We start from the raw sequence: 22076 nt of genomic DNA on the forward strand, positions 1-22076 counted from the left end.
TATATTTCAAAAATTCCCAAGTATTTGAAATATCAAAATATTTCACACTAAGTAGCAAGTCTTCAATATTGTATTAATGTTTCAGAGAATATTGAATGTTTGTGTTTCTGAGTGTTTGCCTGTATGAACAAAACTTACTAATTAAGAGGAAAGATTCACTGAACACCCTTTTATCATATTGTTACTCCATTTCTTTCCAGAATTAGCCATATCTTACATATCTTACAGTGGTTATTGATTATTCAATGTCATCACTTCTTTATTCAAGCAAACATTATTTGAGTGCCCCCCATAAGCCTTGGGCACTGCATAGAGAGCAGAGTAAAACTTTCACAATATTTACAAAAATGACACAAATTTATGTAATTATCAATATGCATAGTATTGTTTTTATATTTTGAAATATTTTTAAATGATAATAGAGTCATATGTACTTCTAATTTCAGCAGCTTTAGAAATTTTTATGAAATATATTTTTGAGATAATCCACATTAAAACAAATAACTACAGGTAATACATATAACAGGATATATAGAATTCTCATGTAAGAATGGATCACATGTATATCACATGTATTCTACTGAGAGAATACACTGTATGTATTTATTTATTGTATATCCCTATTATTCTTTCTTTTGTTATGAAAATCATGCTGCCACAAAAACTTTAGACAAAAATGTTACACTTTATTTTTATGTCTGGGAGAGGAATTGCTGGCTCTAAGGATATAAAAATTATCTACATTAGTGAATATTGATAAAGTGCTTATCAAAGTGTTTGTACTAATTTACTTTGCAGATAACAGCATATGAGGGTTCTTGTCCACCACATATTTGCTATCAGTTATTATTCTCAAAATTTCTCCATTTATTAACTTTAATATTATACAATAACGTCTTTACACTGTTGGTGGGAGTGTAAATTAGTTCAACCATTGTGGAAGACAGTGTGGAGATTCCTCAAGGATCTAAAACCAGAAATACCATTTGACCCAGCAATCCCATTACTGAGTATATACCCAAAGAATTATAAATCATTCTACTGTAAAGACGCATGCACATGTATGTTTACTGCAGCACTATTTACAATAGCAAAGACTTGGAACCAACCCAAATTCCCTTAATGTTAGACTGGATAAAAAAAAAATGTGGCACATATACACCATGGGATACGATGCAGCCATAAAAAAGTATGATTTCATGTCCTTTGCAGGGCAATTGATGAAACTGGAAACCATCATTCTCAGCAAACTAACACAGGAACAGAAAACCAAATACCACATGTTCTCACTCATAAGTGAGTGTAGAACAACAAGAACACATGGACAGAGGGAGGGGGACATCACACTCTGGGGCCTGTCGAGGGGTAGAGGGCAAGGTGAGGGAGAGCTTTAGGACAAATACCTAATGCATGTGGGGCTTAAAACCTAGATGACGGGTTGATGGGTGCAGCAAACCACCACGGCACACATATACCTATGTAACAAACTTGCATGTTCTGCACATGTATCCCAGAACTTAAAGTAAAATAAAAATAAATAAATAAATAATATATTATACCATAACATGCTGTTTTTTAAATTGATACATAATATTTTACCTATTTACAAGACACATGCGAAATTTTTTTACTTGCATAGAATGTTTAATGTTCAGGTCAAGATAATATAAAATGTCCTAATGTGATTTGGAACTACGATTTCTTGATTAAAAGTGAAAATGAGCATTTTCATATATTAGAAATTATTTGTAAATTGAATATTTCCTTGCCTATTTTGGTAGTTTCTCTTTTATTATTAGTATTCAGAAATTATAGGCATTGTAGTTAAATCTTTACTTTGCTTTCTATACCTTTTGTGTTATAGAAAACAAAGCAATCACAACTTTTAATATCAATGAGGTCAAATTAATTTCTTTTTTATGTGTTGTGTTCTTAGTGTCCTGCTAAACCATAAATATATTATCTAATATTTTATTCTTGATATTTTACATTTTGCTTTTCTTGATTAAATAATTTATTGGCCAGCATGATAATTTAATTTTTATGTGTACTAAAAGATAAGAAATTAGTTTCTTCTTTGTTTTGTACATAAATAGGTATTTGGCTTAGTGTTATTTATTAAGCAAATAGTGATCATGTCTCAGATCTCATTCTGTACCAATAATACATCAAATTTCACTGAAAGCATAGATTGTTTACAATCACTCTATATCATTTCTTCCATTTATCTATTTGTCCCACAGCATCTTGTGGAATGCTCTTATCAATCAAAATAAATGACTCAAATATTTTCTCGTTTATTCTGCATGGAAAATTGTATATTTCAGATGTTCTTGCCTTATTTACTTGACTATTCAGAGTAATTTTAAACATATGCACAAACATAGGGCAGGCATATAGCCCTTGTTAACATATTTTGAATACTGAACTATATTAGAATCCTGGGATAAAGCCCAGGTGGACATAATGTAGTTTTTAACGTTAATTGTTAGGATTGTCTTCGCTATACGGGGTCTTCTTTGATTCCCTGTGAAATTTAAAATAGTTTTTTCTAATTCTGGGAAGAATGTCAATGGTAGTTTGATGGGAATAGCATTGAACCTATACATTACTTTGGGCAGTATGGCCATTTTCATGATACTGATTCTTCCTATCCATGAGCATGGAATGTTTTTCCATTTGTGTCCTCTCTGATTTTCTTGAGCAGTGGTTTGTAGTTCCCATTGAAGAGTTCCTTCACCTCTCTTGTTAGCTGTATTCCTAGGTATTTTATTCTCTTTGTAACAACTGTGAATGGGAGTTCATTCATGATTTGGCTCTCTATTGTTGGTGTGAAGGAATGCTTTCGATTTTTGCACATTGATTTTTGTATCCTGAGACTTTGCTGAAGTTGCTTATCAGTTTAAGGATTTTGGGGGCTGAGGTTATGGTGTTTTCTAAATATAAACTCATGCCATCTGCAAACAGAGAGAATTTGACTTCCTCTCTTCCTATTTGAATACACTATTTCTTTCTTTCCTGATTGCCCAGGCCAGAACTTCTAGGACTATGTAGAATAGGAGTGGTGAGAGAGGGCATTCTTGTCTTGTACCGGTTTTCAAAGGGAATGCTTCCAGCTTTTGCCCATTCAATGTGATATTGGCTGTGGGTTTGTCATACATAGCTCTTATTATTTTGAGATATGTTCTATCAATACGTAGTTTATTGAGAGTTTTTAACATGAAGAGGTGTTGAATTTTATCAAAGGCCTTTTTTGCATCTATTGAGATAATCATGTGTCTTTTGTCTTTGGCTCTGCTTATGTGATGAATTATGTTGATTGATTTGCATATATTTAACCAGCCTTGCATCCCAGGGATGAAGCCAACTTGATCATGGTGGATAAGTTTTTGATGTGCTGCTGGATTTGGTTTGCCAGTATTTCATTGAGGGTTTTCACAACGATGTTCATCAGGGATATTGGCCTGAAGTTTTCTTTTTTTGTTCTGTCTCTTCTTGCTTTTGGTATGAGGATGATACTGCCTTCATAAAATGAGTTAGGGAGGAGTCCCTCCTTTTCAATTGTTTGGAATAGTTTCAGAAGGAATAGTACCGGCCCCTTTTTGTATTTTTGGTAGAATTCAGCTGTGAATCTATCTAGTCTTGGGCTTTATTTAGTTGGTAAGCTATTGATTACTGCCTCAATTTCAGAACTTGTTATTGCTCTATTCAGGGATTTGACTTCTTCCTGGTTTAACCTTGGGAGAGTGTATGTGTCCAGGAATTTAACCATTTCTTCTAGATTTTCTAGGTTTTTTGCATAGAGGTGTTTATAATATTCTCTGATTGTAGTTTGTATTTCTGTGGGATCAGTGGTGATATTCCCTTTATCATTTTTTATTGTGTCTATTTGATTCTTCTCTCTTTTCTTCTTTATTAATCTAACTAGCAGTCTATATATTTTGTTAATTTTTTTCAGAAAACCAGCTCCTGGATTCATTGATTTTTTTGAGGGGTTTCATGTCTCTATCTCCTTCAGTTCTTCTCTGATCTTAGTTATTTCTTCTGCTAGCTTTTGGATTAGTTTGCTCTTGCCTCTCTAGCTCTTTTAATTGTGATGTTAGGGTGTCGACTTGAGATCTTTCTAGCTTTCTGATGTTGGCATTTAATGCTATACATTTCCCTCTTAACACTGCTTTAGCTGTGTCCCAGAGATTCTGGTATATTGTCTCTTTGTTCTCATTAGTTTCAAAGAATTTCTTGATTTCTACCTTAATTTGATTATTTACCCAGGAGAGTCATTCAGGAGCAGGTTGTTCAATTTCCATTTAATTGTCTGGTTTTGAGTGAGTTTCTTAATCCTGAGTTCTAATTTGATTGCACTGTGGTCTGAGAGGCTGTTTGTTATTATTTCAGTTCTTTCACATTTGCTCAGGAATGCCAACCCAAATGCCCATCAATCAAAGAGTGGATAAAGAAACTGGGATATATATATATATATATATATGTAATATACATAAATATATATGATATACATATTTATATATATGATATATACATAATGGGATACTACTCAGCCATAGAAAGGAATGAATTAATGGCATTCATAGAGACCTGGATGAGATTGAAGACTATTATTCTAATGAAGTAACTCAACTCAGGGATGGAAAACCAAATATCATATGTTCTCACTCATAAGTAGGAGCTAAGCTATGAGGATGCAAAGGCATAAGAGTAACACAATAGACTTTCAGGTCCCACAGGGAAAGGTTGGGAAGGTGGTGAGGGATAAAAGACTACAAGTAGGGTGCAGTGTACACTGCTTAGGTGATGAGTGCACCAACGTCTCACAAATCATGACTAAAGAACTTACTCATGTAACTGAACACCACCTGTTCCCCAATAATCTATGGAAATTAAAAAAAAATTAAACCAAATGGCTAGAGATGTCATGGCCAGATTTTTATTTTATGTGTAATAGTCTGATAGTTTTTATGGTAGATGAATTTGAAGGGTAAACAATTAAGATGCTGTCATGATCATCTTAGTTAAACTTTGATCACTGAAAGTAAGTCTAGGTAGTTTGAACAGGGAGTAGTGTGTGCACTCTATGTATACTCACACATGTACAGATAACATGCATAAATAGGAATTAAAATGACTGAATTTGTTACTTAATTGAATTTAGCAAATGGGAGGAAAAAAAAGAATGAAAACTATGTGCCAGTATTTTAGTTAGAATAACCAATGACAGATAGTAATATTACCAAATAGAAATATATGGCAGTAAAATCTGAATGAGGGCATTACAAGTTCCAGTTGGGACGTAGTGATTTTGATATAAACTACTCTAACTAACCATATCCTACATGTTATAAGACTCAAAAAAGATTAGGAATATGGAATCCTTTTAAGAAATTTAAGACATTAAACTAATTTAGGGACATAAAATATATCATTACTATTTGCATCAGAAAAGGGAACTATGTAAATCAGAAGAAATGAAAGTTACTTTTTTTTAGCTGGACAGAATGTACTACAAAGGTGAGATGTATTGTTTAATGTACTACAAAGGGGAGATGTAATGTTTAAAATACATTAAGATGAAGTTTATACATAGATAATTAATTTTATATAATTAATATATACACACACACACACACAAACACATATTTTAGGCCTTGAGACTCTTTAAATCTGTGTTTTAGGCCAATATGTTTTAATATAAGCCACTTTTCAAAGTCTAGATTATTTTCTTATAAATCTAGTTTAAAAAATCACAGTAACGTTTTCTATGGGAATTACTGACTATGCCAAAAGTACTACACTTTGAAGCGATGCCATCAGACTACACCTATGGTAAAAATCATAAAATATTATTATGAAAACTCCTCATCATATCTATTGTAAACACTTGACAGCAGGCATATAAGATTGGCAGCTCACTCTGACAATACAAGGAATTGCTGTTTATGGTATAAAGCCAGGGAAGTTTCAACTACAATGAATGTAGAATTTTATGTGATAAAATGTCAGCAGTTTTGAAAGTTTGTTATTAAAATAAATAGCAATTCAAGGTTTACGGTTAGAAAGCATTTCTATGAGGAGCTAACAGGTAAAGAAAAGAGCTAACAGGTAAAGAAAATGAGTGACTTTGGCCATATAGATGTTCCTGTATCCATATTTTGTCAGTTGTGTGGAATAGACTCACATGCTGAGGGGAAAGTTTATGGTAATTGATTTTAAAACATTTCTAAACCTCGTATCTGGCACAGTCTTTGATTATTTTTCATGTCTAATTGTAACTTTTGTTATTTTATTATATTTTACATTTTTTACAAGCAAACAGGTATTTTCTAAAACTATATTGGAGAGAAAATAGTATTACAAATATGTATGTGTCAATATGCATATATGTGCATATATGTACACACATGTATATATGCATATATATTTATGTGTATATATGGGTGGGTATACATACATGTGTATTTGTGTGTTTATACATATATAAAATATATATATGTGTGTGTATATATAAATATATGGTATATGGCAGTTCATCTCTATATAGGGTAGTTTGTCTCAAAATTACTACATAAAGTATATATGTGTGTGTGTATATATATTTATGTGTATATATATCTATATATATAGAAAGTTCCCTTTCTTCACTTTAAAGGGATCATTTCTGCCTTGGAGAGCAACACTACTAAGGAATATATAAAAAATAGATAAAATCATAATGCTTCCATTTTTATTATTTTATTAATCAACTACTGGACTGAGATGGGTGTCATAATAATGCCCAGAAACTTTTGGCTGCTAGTAAACAGGAGATAGATTAAATATTATCTAAGTTCCTTAAAACACACAAGGTGAGTTTTGGCTCTGCTCTATTGGGAACAATGACATTCTAAGATTCTTAATGTTTTTAAGTTTCATAAACCATTTCCTATAATGTGTAAAAACATTTTCATGGTTTTGGAATTAAATTACTTACAAATGTGATTATATTTAAAATTGTTTTTGAGCTTTAAAGTCTAATTTTTAAACAACACAAATTCATACTCAGGTTCAATAAGCAAGTAAAAAAAGTGTAAGAAGAAAGTTGTTAATTGCATGTGTTATGTTGGTGATTTCCAATTATACAAATGTGAAACCAAAGAATTGTTTGATTGTGTTTTCCTTTATAGGGAAATTTTGAAAATCAAAACCAGTGATTGTCTTTGTGAAACAAAGAACCTATTACATGTTTAGTCAATAAGAAAAGAATGTCTGGTTACATGTTTTGTTTTGTACATTTATTTCCCCAGCTGCATTTACAAGGTTTTCTTTGAAATTGCAATAAAATGAGATGGTCTCTTGGTAGAGAATAAAGAAAACAGTGTTTTCTCTTTTTCATAATGGTCCAGCAGTGCCATGTAGTATGTATAAGCAGGCTCTGAATTGCAAAAAGATGAGGTCACAAAGGAAAGCTTTCCTATGGTGGAGATTATAATCTAGTTCAGCAGGTTCCAATATGATAGGAACTGGCCTGTATGTGTGCACAAGGAGGTGGGGATTTGGGGAGGTGCTAAGGGAAGAGTTGCTAGAAATTGTGCACACTGGAAAAAAAAAAAGGAAGAAAGAAGATGAACTTTGAATATTTTCCCTTTTCAAAGATTATTCCATTGTACTCTTACATACACTTCTGCTGCATTTTCCAGGCCATGTGTACAAGAAAATTGGGCATGCCAACTTATGAACCTAATCAGAAAAAGTGCCTAGCCCAAAACAGGACCTCACGCTAGTTCCCACAGTCATTCCTCATCACAAGAGAGTTCCAAGCTTCTTCTTCACTTCTTTTCGCTTGGATATCCCAATATTTGTGTTTGGTAAGAAAGGATCCTGGCTGGCTCTTTTGCAGCAAAGTATACTATGCTTAAATACTGTGTTAGAAAATCCACTGATTTTTAGCTACTGGATGAGTTTAAAGTTGTCATTCTCAGCTCTCAATAACTCTTGTCATCTGAAGTTGGATTAAGGGGAGAAAGGGTTACTTTACCAAACTGACAGCAGTTCTATCACATATCTGTAGTTTCTGCAGCAAATATTGAGGCTCAACAGTGAAAGTACAGTCTGTCCTGGAGGAAGGACTGGGGAAATGACCTCATTAAAACTGCCAGGGAGTCAGTAATAAACACACCTTATTTCTTTCTGGTTTGGGGAAGGTGTCAACAACAAAAAAGGTCTTGGAGTGGTTGTGAGGGATGCGGGGTGGAGGTTAGCAGCTTGCTTGACAAAAGAACACACAAAGAAACAAACAAACAAAAAACCCAGGAATTAAGCAGACTGTAAGCATACACCCACACCCAAACATGCATACATTTTCCCAGTTTAGAGATTGCTGTAGTGGTTTAATACATATTTATGAACATGTTTCCTTGTTTGGGGTAAGTGAAAACTGAGAAAAGGAAAACACACACAAATAGCAAGATAACATAATTGTAAACCAAAAATAAAATTATAAGGCCTCCCAGCCACCTGAGTGGACTTCCTCCTCAGCCGGGGCTCTTTTAAAATGTAACCTAAGAGACTGTTAGGCCATGATGAGAAGTGGGGTTGGACATGCCTCATTATACCTCTCTAGTGTTAGCATCAACACAGACTTTAAGTCTGATAAGAAACATTTTACAACCTATTCTGTCTGCAGCCTACTACCTGAAGGCCTCCGCTGCAAATAAGAACTTGTATGTCCACAGTTCTTTACCTTAACCCAGACATTCCTTTCTGTTGACAACAGGGCTTTAGACAAACTCAACCAATTGTCAACCAGAAAATATTTAAATTTACCTATAGCTTAGAAGCCCCTGCCTTTCTGGCTCAAACCAATGTCTTTCTTAAATGTATTTGATTGAAGTCTCATGTCTCCCTAAAATGTATAAAACCAAGCTCCACCCCAATCACCTTGGATACCTGCTCTCAAGACCTCCTGAGGGCTATGTCACAGGCCATGGTCACTTATATTTGGCTCAGAGTAAACTTCAAATATTTCACAGAATTTGACTCTTTTCATCAACATAACACAGTCAAAGCTTTAAAGGAATATTTTCAATATTCTTGTCATCAGAAAATATAGGAAAATAACATTTATCAGAATCTTATTTTGTTTCAGGGCTACTTTGTTTATTTTTTTGTTCCCTCCTCCCCTTTGAACAATAAACTTGCTCTTTTTGTACTACAGTTTTTATTAAAAGAACCCTACATATTTATCCAAGTAAAATCAGTAAGTTATTCTGAGGGTCAAAGCCTGGAAAAATGGAGGACGGGAGATATGACCAACTTGAAGCTCCCACTTAGATGGACAGAGTAGTATGTGGCTACCCACATCATGAACTTTTGCTGCAAGAACTACTGTAGGAACATACCAGGAAAGCCAAGAGAACCCACGGTCCCTTTGAAGGAGGTGGTCTGCCTCTGCAGGCTCCGTGGGACAGCTAAGGAACTGTCAGTTGGCTTACTTTCTCAGTTGACAGGCTTGTAGTCTGAAGAAAGTTCTCAGCATTGCTCACTGGCTACCTGGAAATAAACTCAGTGCTGTTGTGGGGGCATGGTAGCAGTGAGACCGGCCTTTTGGGCTGTGGGCTGTGTGGGAACTGGGTGAGGACTGTGTCTGCTGGCTTTCCCCCACTTCCCTGGTGACCTATGTGACACAGCAAAGACAGCCATAATCCCCCTGGGAACATAACTCCATTGTCCCAGAAAGCACACCCCCATCCCCCACAGCAGCCTCACGGAGCCCCACCCTAAGACAGCCTGAGCTCAGACATGCCTAACTCTGCCCCAACCTGAAGGTCTTTCTCTACCCACCCTGGTAGCTGAATATAAAGGACACAATCTTTTGGGAGTTCTATGTCCCTGCCCACCGCCTGATCCTCCCTATAAAACTGCAGCTAATGCAGCCTTGAAAGTGCCACCTCCTGGCTTGAAGTCAACCAACACAAGACCAGCACACTTAACAAAAATACAACCAAGGATCCTCACAGAGTTCACTTCACTCCCTTGCTACCCCCACTGGAGTAGGTGCTGATATCCACGGTTGAGAGAACTGAAGATGGATCACATCATCGGACTCTGCAGACACTCCCCAGTACTGGCCCAACACCTGGTAGCTCTGCTGGATGGCTAGATCCAGAAAAAAATTACACTCACTACAGTTCTGCTCTCAGGAAGCCCCATCCCTAGGGGAAAGGGGAGAACACCACATCAAGGGAGCACCACTGTGGGATGAAATAATCTGAAGAGCAGCCCTTGAGTCCCAGATCTTCCCTCTAACATAGTCTACCCAAATGAGAAAAAAATAAAATAATAAACAGCAAACAATTTGGGTAATATGACAAAACAAAGTCCTTAACACCCTCAAAAGATTACACGAGCTCACCAGCAATGGATCCAAACCAAGACAAAAATCTCTGAATTTCCAAAAAAAGGCCACTCAAGGAGGCATTAGAGAAAGGTGAAGTCCAACTTAAAGAAATAAAGAAAAAAAAAATGATACAGGATATGAATGGAAAAATCTCCAGTGAAATAGATAGCATAAATAAAAAACAATCACAACTTCTGGAAATCAAAGACACACATAGAGAAATGGAAAATGCACCACAAAGTCTCAGCAATAGAATCGAACTAAGTGGAGACCACCCCTCATATTGTCTTATGCCCAATTTCTGCCTCCAAAGAAAGAAGTAAAAACTAAAAGGCAGAAATGAAATCCACAGGCAGACAGCCCTGCACCGTGCCCTGGACCTGGTTAAAGATCGACCCCTGACCTAAAATGGTTATGTTATCTATAGATTCCAGACATTGTGTGGAAAAGCACTGTGAAAATCCCTGTCCTGTTCTGTTCTGATTACTGGTGCATGCAGCCCACAGTCACATACCCCCTGCTTGCTCAATCGATCATGACCCTCTCACGCGGACCCCCTTAGAGTTGTAAGCCCTTAAAAGGGATAGGAATTGCTCACTTGGGGAGCTCGGTTTTTGAGAAGTGAGTCTTGCCGACGCTCCTGGCCAAATAAAGCCTTTCGTTCTTTAACTCAGTGTCTGAGGTTTTGTCTGTGGCTCGTCCTGCTACAGAACAAGCAGAAGAAAAAAACTTCAGAGATCAAACACAAAGTTTTTATGTTAACCCAACCCAGAAAAGATAAAATATAAAAATAAAAAAAAAATGAACAAAGCCTCCAAGAGGTTTGGGATTATGTTAAATGACCAAGCCTAAGAATAATTGGTGTTCCAGAGGAATAAGACAAATCTAAGTTTTGAAAACATATTTGAAGGAATAATTGAGGAAAACTTCCCTGTCCTTGTTAAAGATCTAGACATTCAAATACAAGAAGCTAAAAGAACACCTGGGAAGTTCATCACAAAAAGATCGCTGCCGAGGCACATAGTCATTAGGTTATCTAAAGTCAAGATGAAGGAAAGAATCTTAAGAGCTGTGAGTCAAAAGCATCAGGTAACCTATAAAGGAAACCTATCAGATTAACAGCAGATTTCTCAGCAGAAACCCTACAATTTAGAAGGGATTGAAGTCCTATCTTTAGCCTACTTAAACGAAATAATTATCAGTCAGGAATTTTGTATCTAGTGAAACTAAGGCTTATAAATGAAGAAAAGTTACAGTCTTTTTCAGACAAACACATGCTGAGAGAATCTGCCACTACAAAGCCAGCACTACAAGAACTGCTAAAAGGAGCTCTAAATCTTAAAACAAATTCTCAAAATACATAAAAATAGAATTTCCTCAAAGCATAAATGTCAGAGGACCTATAAGACAATAACACAATGAAAAAACAACAACAACATGGTATTCAGGCAACAAAAAGCACAATGAACAGAATAGTACTTCACATCTCAATACTAATGTTGAATGCAAATTGCCTAAATGCTCCACTTAAAAGATACAGAAAGGCAGAATAGATAAGAACTGACCAACAAATATCTGCTCTCTTCAAGAGACTCACCTGACATATAAGGACTCAAGAAACTTAGAGTAAAGGGGTAGGAAAAAATATTCCATGCAAATGGACACCAAAAGTGAGCAGGAGTAGCTATTTTTATATCAGACAAAACAAACTTTAAAGCAACAGCAGTTTAAAAAGACAAAGAGGGACATTATATAATGATAAAAGGACCAATCCAACAGGAAAATATCACATTCCTTAGTATATATGCACCTAACACTGGAGCTCCCAAATTTTTAAAACAATTGCTACTAGACTTAAGAAATGAGATAGACATAAACACAATAATGATGGGGGGTTTTAATTACTCCACAGACAGCACTAGACAGGTCATCAAGATAGAAGGTCAACAAAGAAACAATGGACTTAAACTTTGCCCTAGATTTAGGACTTACATACTTACAGAACATTCTACTGAACAACTGCAGAATATACGTGCTATTCATCAGCACATGGAACTTTCTCCAAAATACACCATATGATAGGCCACAAAACAAGTCTCAATACATTTAAGAAAATTGAAATTATAGCAAGTATTCTCAGACCACAGTGGAGTAAAATTGGAAACCAACTCCAAAAGGAAGCCTCAAAACAATGCAAATACATGGAAATTAAATATCCTGCTCCTGAATGATCAGGTTAACAATGAAATCCTTATGGAAATTTAAAAATTCCTTGACTGAATGATAATGGTCACACAACCTGTCAAAACCTGTGAGAAGCAGCAAAAGCAGTGCTAAGAGGAAAGTTCATAGCTATTAATGCCTACATCAAAAAGTCTGAAAGAGCACAAAGAGACAATCTAAGGTCACACCTCAAGGAACTAGAGAAACAAGAACAAACCAAACCCAAATCCAGCAGCAGAAAAACAAAACAAAACAAAACAAAACAAAAAAGATCAGAGCAGAATTAAATTAAATTAAATTAAAACAAAAAAAGATGAATGAAACAAAAAACTGGTTCTTTAAAAAGATAAATAAAATTGATAGATCATTAGTGAGATTAACCAAGAAAAGAATAGAGAAAATAAAAAGAAGCTCAATTAGAAAAGAAACAGGAGATATTACAACGATTACCACAGAAATACAAAAGATTAGTCAAGGCTACAATGAACAACTTTATACGCATAAACTAGGAAACCTAGAGGAGATGGATAAATTCCTGGAAATATACAGCCCTCTTAGATTAATCCAGAAATAAAAATTATAAACAGCCCAATAAAAATCAGTGAAATTGAAATGTAATTAAAATGTTACCAACAAAAACAAAGTCTAGAACCAGACAGATTCACAGCTGAATTTTATCAAGCATTCAAAGAAGAACTGGTAACAATCCTATTGACACTATTCCAAAAGATAGAGAAAGAGGGAACCCTCCCTAAATCATTCCATGAAGTCAGTGTCACCCCAATACCCTAACCAGGAAAGAACATAAGCAAAAAAGAATGCCACAGTCCAATATGACTGATGAACATGGATGCAAAAATCCTCAACAAAGTACTAGCAAACTGAGTCCAACAGCATATCAAAAAGATAATCTACCACAATCAAGTGGGTTTCATACAAGAAATGCAGTGATGGTTTAACATATGCAAGTTAATAAATGTGATAGTCCACATAAACAGAATTGAAAACAAAAATTACATGTTCATCTCAATAGATGCAGGAAAAACATTTGACAACATCCAGCAACACTTTATGATTAAAACTTAAACAAAATCAGCATAGAAGGGGCATTTCTTAAGGTAATAAAAGCCATCTATGACAAACCCATAGCTAACACTATACTAAATGGGAAGAGTTGAAAGCGTTCCCCCTGATAGCTGGAACAGGACAAGGATGCCCACTTTCACCACTTCTACTCAACATAGTACTGTAAGTCCTAGCCAGAGCAATCAGATAAGAGATAGAAATAAAGGGCATCCAAGTTGGTAATGAGGAAGTCAAACTCTCACTGTTCATTGATGACATGATCGTACACCTAGAAAACCCTCAAGACTCATCCAAAAAGCTCCTGGAACTGGTAAAGGAACTTAGGATTCAAAATTAATGTACACAAATTAGTAGCTCTGCTATACACCAACAGTGGGCAAGCTGAGAATGAAATCAAGAACTCAACCCCTTTCATAGTAGCTGCAAAAACAGACAACAGAAAGAAAAACTAAGAAATTTACTTAACCAAGATGGTGAAAGACCTCTAAAAGGAAAAATACAAAAGACTGCTGAAAGAAATAATAGATGACACAAACAAATGTAAACACATCACATGCCCATGGATAAGTAGAATCAAGGTTGTGAAAATCCTTTTACTGCCAAAAGAAATCTATCAATCAATGCAATTCCCATGAAAATATCACAATTATTCTTCACGGAACTAGAAAGAAGAATCCTAAAATTCATATGGAGCCAAAAAAAAAAAAGCCACATAGCCAAAGCAAGATTAAGAAAAAGAACAAATATGGAGGCATTACATTACCTGACTTCAAACTACACTATAAAGTCATAGTCACCAAAACAGCATGGTACTGGTATAAAAGTAGACATATAGACCAATGGAACAGAATAGAGAACCCAGAAATAAAGCCAAACACTTACACTCAACTGATCTTTGACAAAGCAAACAAACACATAAAGTGGGAAAAGGACACCCTATTCAACAAATGGTGCTGGGATAATTGGCAAGTCATATGTAGAATAATAAACCTGGATCTTCATCTCTCATCTTATACAAAAATCAACTCAAGTTGGATCAAAGACTTAAACCCAAGACCTGAAACCATAAATCTAGAAGATAAAAGTGGGAAAACCCTTCTAGCCAATGGCTTAGGCAAATACTTCATGACCAATAACCCAAAAGCAAATACAAAAAACAGATAAATAGGATTTAATTAATTAATTAAAAAGCTTCTGCACAGCAAAAGAAATAATCAGCAGAGTAAACAGACAGCCCACCAAGTGGGAGAAAATCATCACAATCTCTGCATCCATCAAAGGACTAACATTCAGAATCTCCAGAAACTCAAACAAATCAGCAAGAACAAAAGAAACAATCCTATCAAAAAGTGGGCTAAGGACATGAATAGATAATTCTCAAAAGGAGTTGTACAAATTGCCAACAAACATATGACAAAATGCTCAACATTATTAATTATCAGGGAAATGCAAATCAAAACAGCAATGTGATACCACCTCACTCTGACAAGAATGGCCATAATCAAAAAAGAAAAAAAAAAAGATGTTGGCATGGATGTGGTGAAAAGGGAACACTTTTACTTTCCTGATGGGAATGTAAACTAGTACAACCACTATGGAAAACAGTTTGGAGATTCCTTAAAGAACTAAAAATAGATCTGTCATTTGATCTCATAATCCCATAAGGGAGGAGACCACCCCTCATATTGTCTTATGCCCAATTTCTGCCTCCAAAGAAAGAAGAAGTAAAAACTAAAAGGCAGAAATGGAATCCACAGGCAGATAGCCCAGCACCATGCCCTGGGCCTGGTAGTTAAAAATCAACCCCTGACCTAACTGCTTGTGTTATCCATAGATTCCAGACATTGTATGGAAAAGCATTGTGAAAATCCCTGTCCTGTTCTGTTCCATTCTGATTACCAGTGCATGCAGCCCCCAGTCATGTACCCACTGCTTGCTCAATGGATCACAACCCTCTCATGCAGACCCCCTTAGAGTTGTAAGCCCTTTAAAGGGACAGGAATTGCTTACTCAGGGAGCTCGGTTTTTGAGACGTGAGTCTTGCTGACGCTCCCGGCCGAATAAAGCCCTTCCTTCTTTAACTCGGTGTCTGAGGGGTTTTGTCTGCGGCTCATCCTGCTACTCCGCCGCTGGATATCTATCCAGAGGAAAATGCATCATTATATGAAAAAGATATCTGCACACACATGCTTATAGTGGCACAATTCACAATTGCAAAAATATGGAACCAGCCAAAATGCCCATCAATCAATGAGTGGATAAAGAAAATGTGGTGTGTGTATATATATACACACACACACACACACACACACACACACATGCACTGATATGGTTTGGCTGTATCCCCATCCAACTCTCATCTTGAATTGTTGCTCCCATAATTCTTACATGTAGTGGGGGGGATCGAGTGGGAGGTAATTGAATCATGGGAGTGGGTCTTTCTCACGCTGTTCTCGTAATAGTGAATAAGTCTCATGAGGTCCGATGGTTTTATAAATGGAAATTCCCCTGCACAAGCTCTCTTGTCTGCTACCATGTAAGTTGTGCCTTTGCTCTTCCTTTGCCTTCCCAGGCCCCACACAGCCATGTGGAACTGTGAGCCAATTAAACCTATTTCTTTTATAAAGTACCCAGTGTCGGGTATGTCTTTATTAGCAGCATGAGAACAGACTAACACATGTGCCATGGAATACTACTCAGCCATAAAAAGGAATGAAATAATGGCATTTGCAGTAACCTAGATGCAAGTGAAGACCACGATTCTAAGTGAAGTAACTCAGGAATGGAAAACCAAATAGGCTGTGTTCTCACCCATAAGTGGAAGCTAAGATCTGAGGATGAAAAGGCATAAGAGTGATACAACAGACTTTAAGGATTCAGGGGAAAGGGTAGGGGGCATGAGGGATAAAAGACTACACATTGGGTACAGTGTACACTGCTAGGGTGATGGATGCAGCAAAATCTCAGAAATCACGGCTAAAGAACTTAGTCATGTAACCAAACACCACCTGTTTCCCAAAAAAACTATTGAAATAAAAAAAAAAACTTGCATGCATAAAAGCACATTAGAAATGTTTTAATAACGTGAAATTAGATTTTTATATTCACACAAACATGCATTAAGTCTATCCATATTGGATAGACATAATGGCTTCCTTGTAAAATTTAAAGAGTTTAGAATTGCCCTAATATTTTACATAGATATTACTTTTAAAAACTGATTTTGAACAAAAACCAATATATCAAAGATTCTTGTGAAGTTGGGACCTGAGATTGCAAACAGATGCATTTTTCTAAATTTTTGTGAGAATGAAATGTTTTCATTGTGATTCAAGCTGGAATTAATAAGGGTGACTTAAGAGTTATGTTTTTGATTTTGTAGGGAGAGCTCCCTTGGTTACGACAGTCTTAAAGATCTCCTGTTACATAAATTTGACAGTAAGTTATCAACATTACAACTAAGAAGCCTAACCATTTGGAATTTAAAACTCCTGTATCAGTCTGCCCTGGAGTCATTCTGGGATGAGTCAAGTGGTCAGACACTGTCTCACTGGATGAGAAACATGATCATGTCTGAGTACCAGGAATAACAATTCTAAAAATGGACAGATCTAATTCATTCAATATTTCAGTGATGGCCAAGTGACGCATGCTGGGAGGGCTCAACCTCTACGCCTGGAAACTTGGCTCTTTGGGAAGATGTGGCAATGCAAATTTGTTGAAGATGAAGGATATATCACTCTTCTGGAATGAATGGAATGAATGGAATGTCTAGCCAGAGACCTTTCAGAAATCTTAATAATTGTGGCAATTTTTTTTTCTTAACTGTTCACTTCTCTTAACAAAAGAAAAGCCACTGCAATGCCCCACCTATTCCCCTCACACATGTCTGTTCTTGATACTAATTTTTACATTTTGACATTTAAATAGTAACTATAATTATCCACATTTTTTCTTCTTTGGGCAATTACATTTGCATTCTTAGTGAAGAACTGTAAAACCAAATGGATGGACCAAAAAAATGGTTTAAACAGAAGTCGTACAAACATGCATATTTGAAAGAGGAGATTCTTATAACTACATAAAATAAATAATGTAATATCTTCTATTTATACTTTCCAGTAGATTAAGTGCTGAGGACACAGTCAACAAAAACAACATTATATGTTTCTACTGGCAATATCCCTGGTGTTGCCTAATTGGTTGAATTTCAAACCATTATCTTTAAAGAAGCATCTCTATAGGTATAGTTAGTTCTTCTTTGCTTTCTGCCAGAGAAGCCTGCAGAACACAATCAAGGGATATTGATGTTCAAAGAAAAGAATGGCCTGACAATTCAAACAACATACCTAAAATTTTTTACGTTCTAAGAAAATAGATGCTGTGTTGCATTTTTGTGCATCTTTGTACCTCCTTGGTTGATAACAAAGTAAGTTTTCTAGCACTGCCTCTGGGTTCTTTCTAAGTAGAGACTTGTCCTGTAACAAGATGAATGAAAGTATGAGCAGATAAATAATGTGCATACAACGTAGAATGAAACTTTTAAAATTAACGTAGCAACTTCAAAAGACTTAAAAAATGAAAATTCCATGGAAAAATTTTAATATGCCTTATTATCCTCCAATATTTGTAGACCTCAGAAAAAAGTTGTTTCTCATTCTGTTGAACATATATTTATGAATTTTGTTCAAATGCAAAAATCAACTAATGGCTAATGTCTAAAAATAAGAAAACATATTAGCTAATAAAAGACTTTTGGGAAAATGTTAATTTGTTTTGATTGAAAATTGTTCATTAATGTACTCTCATGAACTACTATTTAGATTTCATCATGAATTTAAACTACTTATCACAAGTTTTACGAACAGAATATAGTCAGGTAATATTTCCAATTTATTTAATAAGTTTTTGTTTAGCATATACTATATGTCTGGCACTATAAAAGACACTGGTTATATTGCAATAAACAAAATATAATTGTTTTCTATAAGATTTGCTTGAATTATTTTTTACCTAATTTAATACTTTAAAAATTTGCTAACGTAAAATTTTTTATGACTTACAAAATACTTATATAAGCATTATCTCATTGATTCATTTTATAATCCTGTAAAAGATATGAAGTTATTTTTATTGTTTTCATTTTACATGTAAAGGAAAAATGCCCCAAAGTCTTAAGTAAATTTAAAAATATTTTTTGGCTTGCAAGTAATGAAGTTAGGACTTAAACATATTTCTATAATCCCTGCATCATACTTTGCATATGCTCTCCAAAATGCAAATAAATGCTTTGTTTAATATCACAATGATCTCTTTCCTTTAACTTTGAGTATTTAAAATATTACCTATAATATTTCTATATTACATTAATAACATAATATAGGTTGGATTTTACTTTTATCATTTGAGTCTCATGTGCTTAAATTTCATAAGTTGCAAGCATTAATATTTTGTATTTTGCTGAATCTATTTTTATCTAATGGCATATTACTCGGAAATGAAGTTTTAGTTGGATAGGTCTTCAAGTGCATTATATAGAGGCTGAAATCCACAATTGTATTTAATTTTCATTTTTCTATTTTGGCTTTAAGCTAAGGTCTGTTACATACAATGTCTAATGAGGTAATCTTGTGAACAATGCCTAATTCTGACTAATAAACTCAAGTACAGCTGTTCTCCAAAGCTCCTTTGAATTAATATCATTCCGTTTCATTTATGAGACATAACCTTTTCTGAAATTAGTGTGATCTGTCTCAAAGTGAAAACTGAAGTTATTATAACTATTTGGCAAATATTATTTTGTGCATTGTAGCAATTAGATAACAATCAAGAGATAATATATGGTAGAAAACTATAAATGTCATCACAGCAGAAGTATACAATTTTGGAAGAGAAAAATGCATACTTTGTCATTTATTAGAAAAGATTTAATGGAAGACCTTTGAGGCAGATCTTGAAGAATAAATAGAATGAGGACAGCAGTGAGAGATCTACTATACAGGAAATAATTGTCATTAACATTCACTGGTGTAGACAGAGTTACCCTCTTTTATACTAGTTTACTCTTCAGGACTAACTTAACCATGTAATAAATGAAAAGCTATCCTTGCACTACGTGTGGAGGGACAGTAATGTATAAGAAAGCTGTATTAGTCCATTCTGGCACTCCTACAAAGAAATACCTGAAGCTGGGTAATTTATGAAGAGAGGTTTAATTGGCTCATCCTTCCACAGGCTGGGCAGTAAGCATGGTAGCCTCTGCTTGACTTCAGTCATGATGGAAGCCAGCACTTCACATGGCCAGAGCAGAAGAAAGAGAGAGCAAGGAGGGAGGTGCCACACACTTTTAAACAATCAGAACTCCATCAGGAGACGGCACAAGAAGGATAGTGCTAAACCATTAGAAACAGCCTTCATGATCCAATTACCTCCCACCAGGGCCCACCTCCAATATTGGGGATTACAATTTCACATGTGATTTGGTGGGGTACACAGATGCAAACCATATTGAAAGAATATAAGAAAGTCAAAATTATTAACTGCTTTTTGATTTTATTTTTAGACTTTGCTGTTTATCAAAACTGTAGGCTCTGCAAAACTAAGTTTCCACATCTGCAAAATAAGTAAGACAGCCCCATATTACTAAACTCTCTCCAGAACAATTATTCAATAAATTTATAATATTTTAAAAATAATTACAATAAAGTTTTCTGCTTTTCTCTCTTTTATTAAAATCTAATCTGATTTTTAAATTTCAGTGTTTTTCACATGTATGTTTGCATATTTCTCCACATAGTTCTTGATTCAGCAATGCTTGATATTCACCCCACACTACCCCAATTTGACCCATTGAGACTGAGCCAACAGGAAATACGTAAAAGCAAAGATGTGAGAAAATAACGGTGAGTTTTGATCATTGGGAATATTTTTGTGTGGCTCACTCTTCTAACTTGTCTAAGAAGTTAGACAGAGGTATGTAAATCCTAGACAAGCAGGAAGGATTATAACTTTTCATGGTAAAGAATTTGGATTTAATTATCAAGAAATGGAAAACCATTGGCACATGTTAAGTAGATGAAATGGCGTAATATTTACATTTTAAAAGCTAACTTACAACTTCCTGTTTTTAGCTTGTTAGAGAATTTAGAAGTTGCTAGTCCCTCCCAACAACTGGTAAAAAAGGTTGAATAAACTGACAAATCAAGTAGTCTTAGATCCATAAGTGACAGGACAAACCGCTGCCCTTAAAATTGGAGAGAAGGACAGATGGATACAGAGAATCACAACGCACGAAAGCAGAAACGCTGAGGCAGAAAGCTCCAAGGGAATCAGTGTCAGGGGAGGGAAACCTAAACTGTAATTGAGGAATTGCTCAAAGCTCAATGTGGCCAAGTCTGAGAGCTGAAATCTCCTCTCCAAGAGTACCCAGTTATAGTAGGCTTCACACTTTTGTTAGTTTTATCTCAAAGAGCTTGACCAGGTTCTGACAGTGAATACAAGAAAAAAATTCCCCACCTACTTCCAACAAGAAGAGGGAAAAAGTGATCATTTTGAAATACACCAGAGCATTATCTTCCTAACAAGGGTTGCTCACAAGAGAAGCTATTCAACCAGAGGCTGCTCTGCTGGAGTATTGTAGTCTAACCCAATTAGAGGCAGGGAAATTCCCAAACCCAGCAGGCTCTAGACTTCCAAAATGAATAAGGGAAATACCCAACTGTAACCCTGTCTTGTGAATCCATCCCTTCTAAGAGGGGAGGACAATGGGAAGAGGTGAATATCACCTGTGAAATTCACAATCTGGAGACACAGGTGCACTAAAATATGGAGATCTATAGGACTAGAGATTGGTCCCCATGCTCCGACACTTGACCACCACATTGCTAAAGGGGCTACTCACAGTAGTTTCTTTTACCTATTACATTATATCCAGGCATCAAGAAATTTTATATCTCTCATGAAGATAGAAGTACACATCTCCAGTAAAATATTAGCAAATTGAATTCAACAATGTATAAAAAGAATTATACACCACAACCAAGTGACATTTGTTTCAGTTACACAGGGATGGTTTAACATTCTAAAATCCATTATTTTAATCCATCATATCAGTAGGTTCAAAATGAAAAATCACATGATCATATCAATACATGCTGAAAAGGCATTTAACAAAATCTAACATGATTTATTATAAAACTCTCAGTAAACTAGCAATAGAAGGGCACTTCCTCAATTTAATAAAAAATATCTCCAAAAAAACCACAGCCAACATCATACTTAATGGTGAGAAACTTATTGCTTTCCCACTAAGATCGGGAACAAGGTAAGGATGTCCCCTCTCACCACTCATTTTCAAAATCGTTTTGGAAGTCCCACAAGA

At 35.3% G+C, this 22076-nt stretch overlaps 1 long non-coding RNA gene across 3 annotated transcripts in view; it reads left to right on the forward strand.

The window, feature by feature from the left end:
- The window catches only part of LOC105374557 (uncharacterized), a 485690-nt gene that overhangs the window by 153225 nt on the left and 310389 nt on the right, over nucleotides 1-22076 (forward strand). Inside the window, exon 3 of one of the 3 annotated variants that reach the window (NR_188398.1) lies at nucleotides 17079-18466. The exons of the other annotated variants lie outside the window; for them this stretch is intronic. This is a non-coding gene — a long non-coding RNA (uncharacterized LOC105374557). Of the gene's footprint in view, nucleotides 1-17078; nucleotides 18467-22076 lie in introns of those variants that run through there. 3 annotated transcript variants of the gene reach the window in all.

This window comes from Homo sapiens, chromosome 4, assembly GCF_000001405.40.
Source record: "Homo sapiens chromosome 4, GRCh38.p14 Primary Assembly".
NCBI lineage: Eukaryota > Metazoa > Chordata > Mammalia > Primates > Hominidae > Homo > Homo sapiens.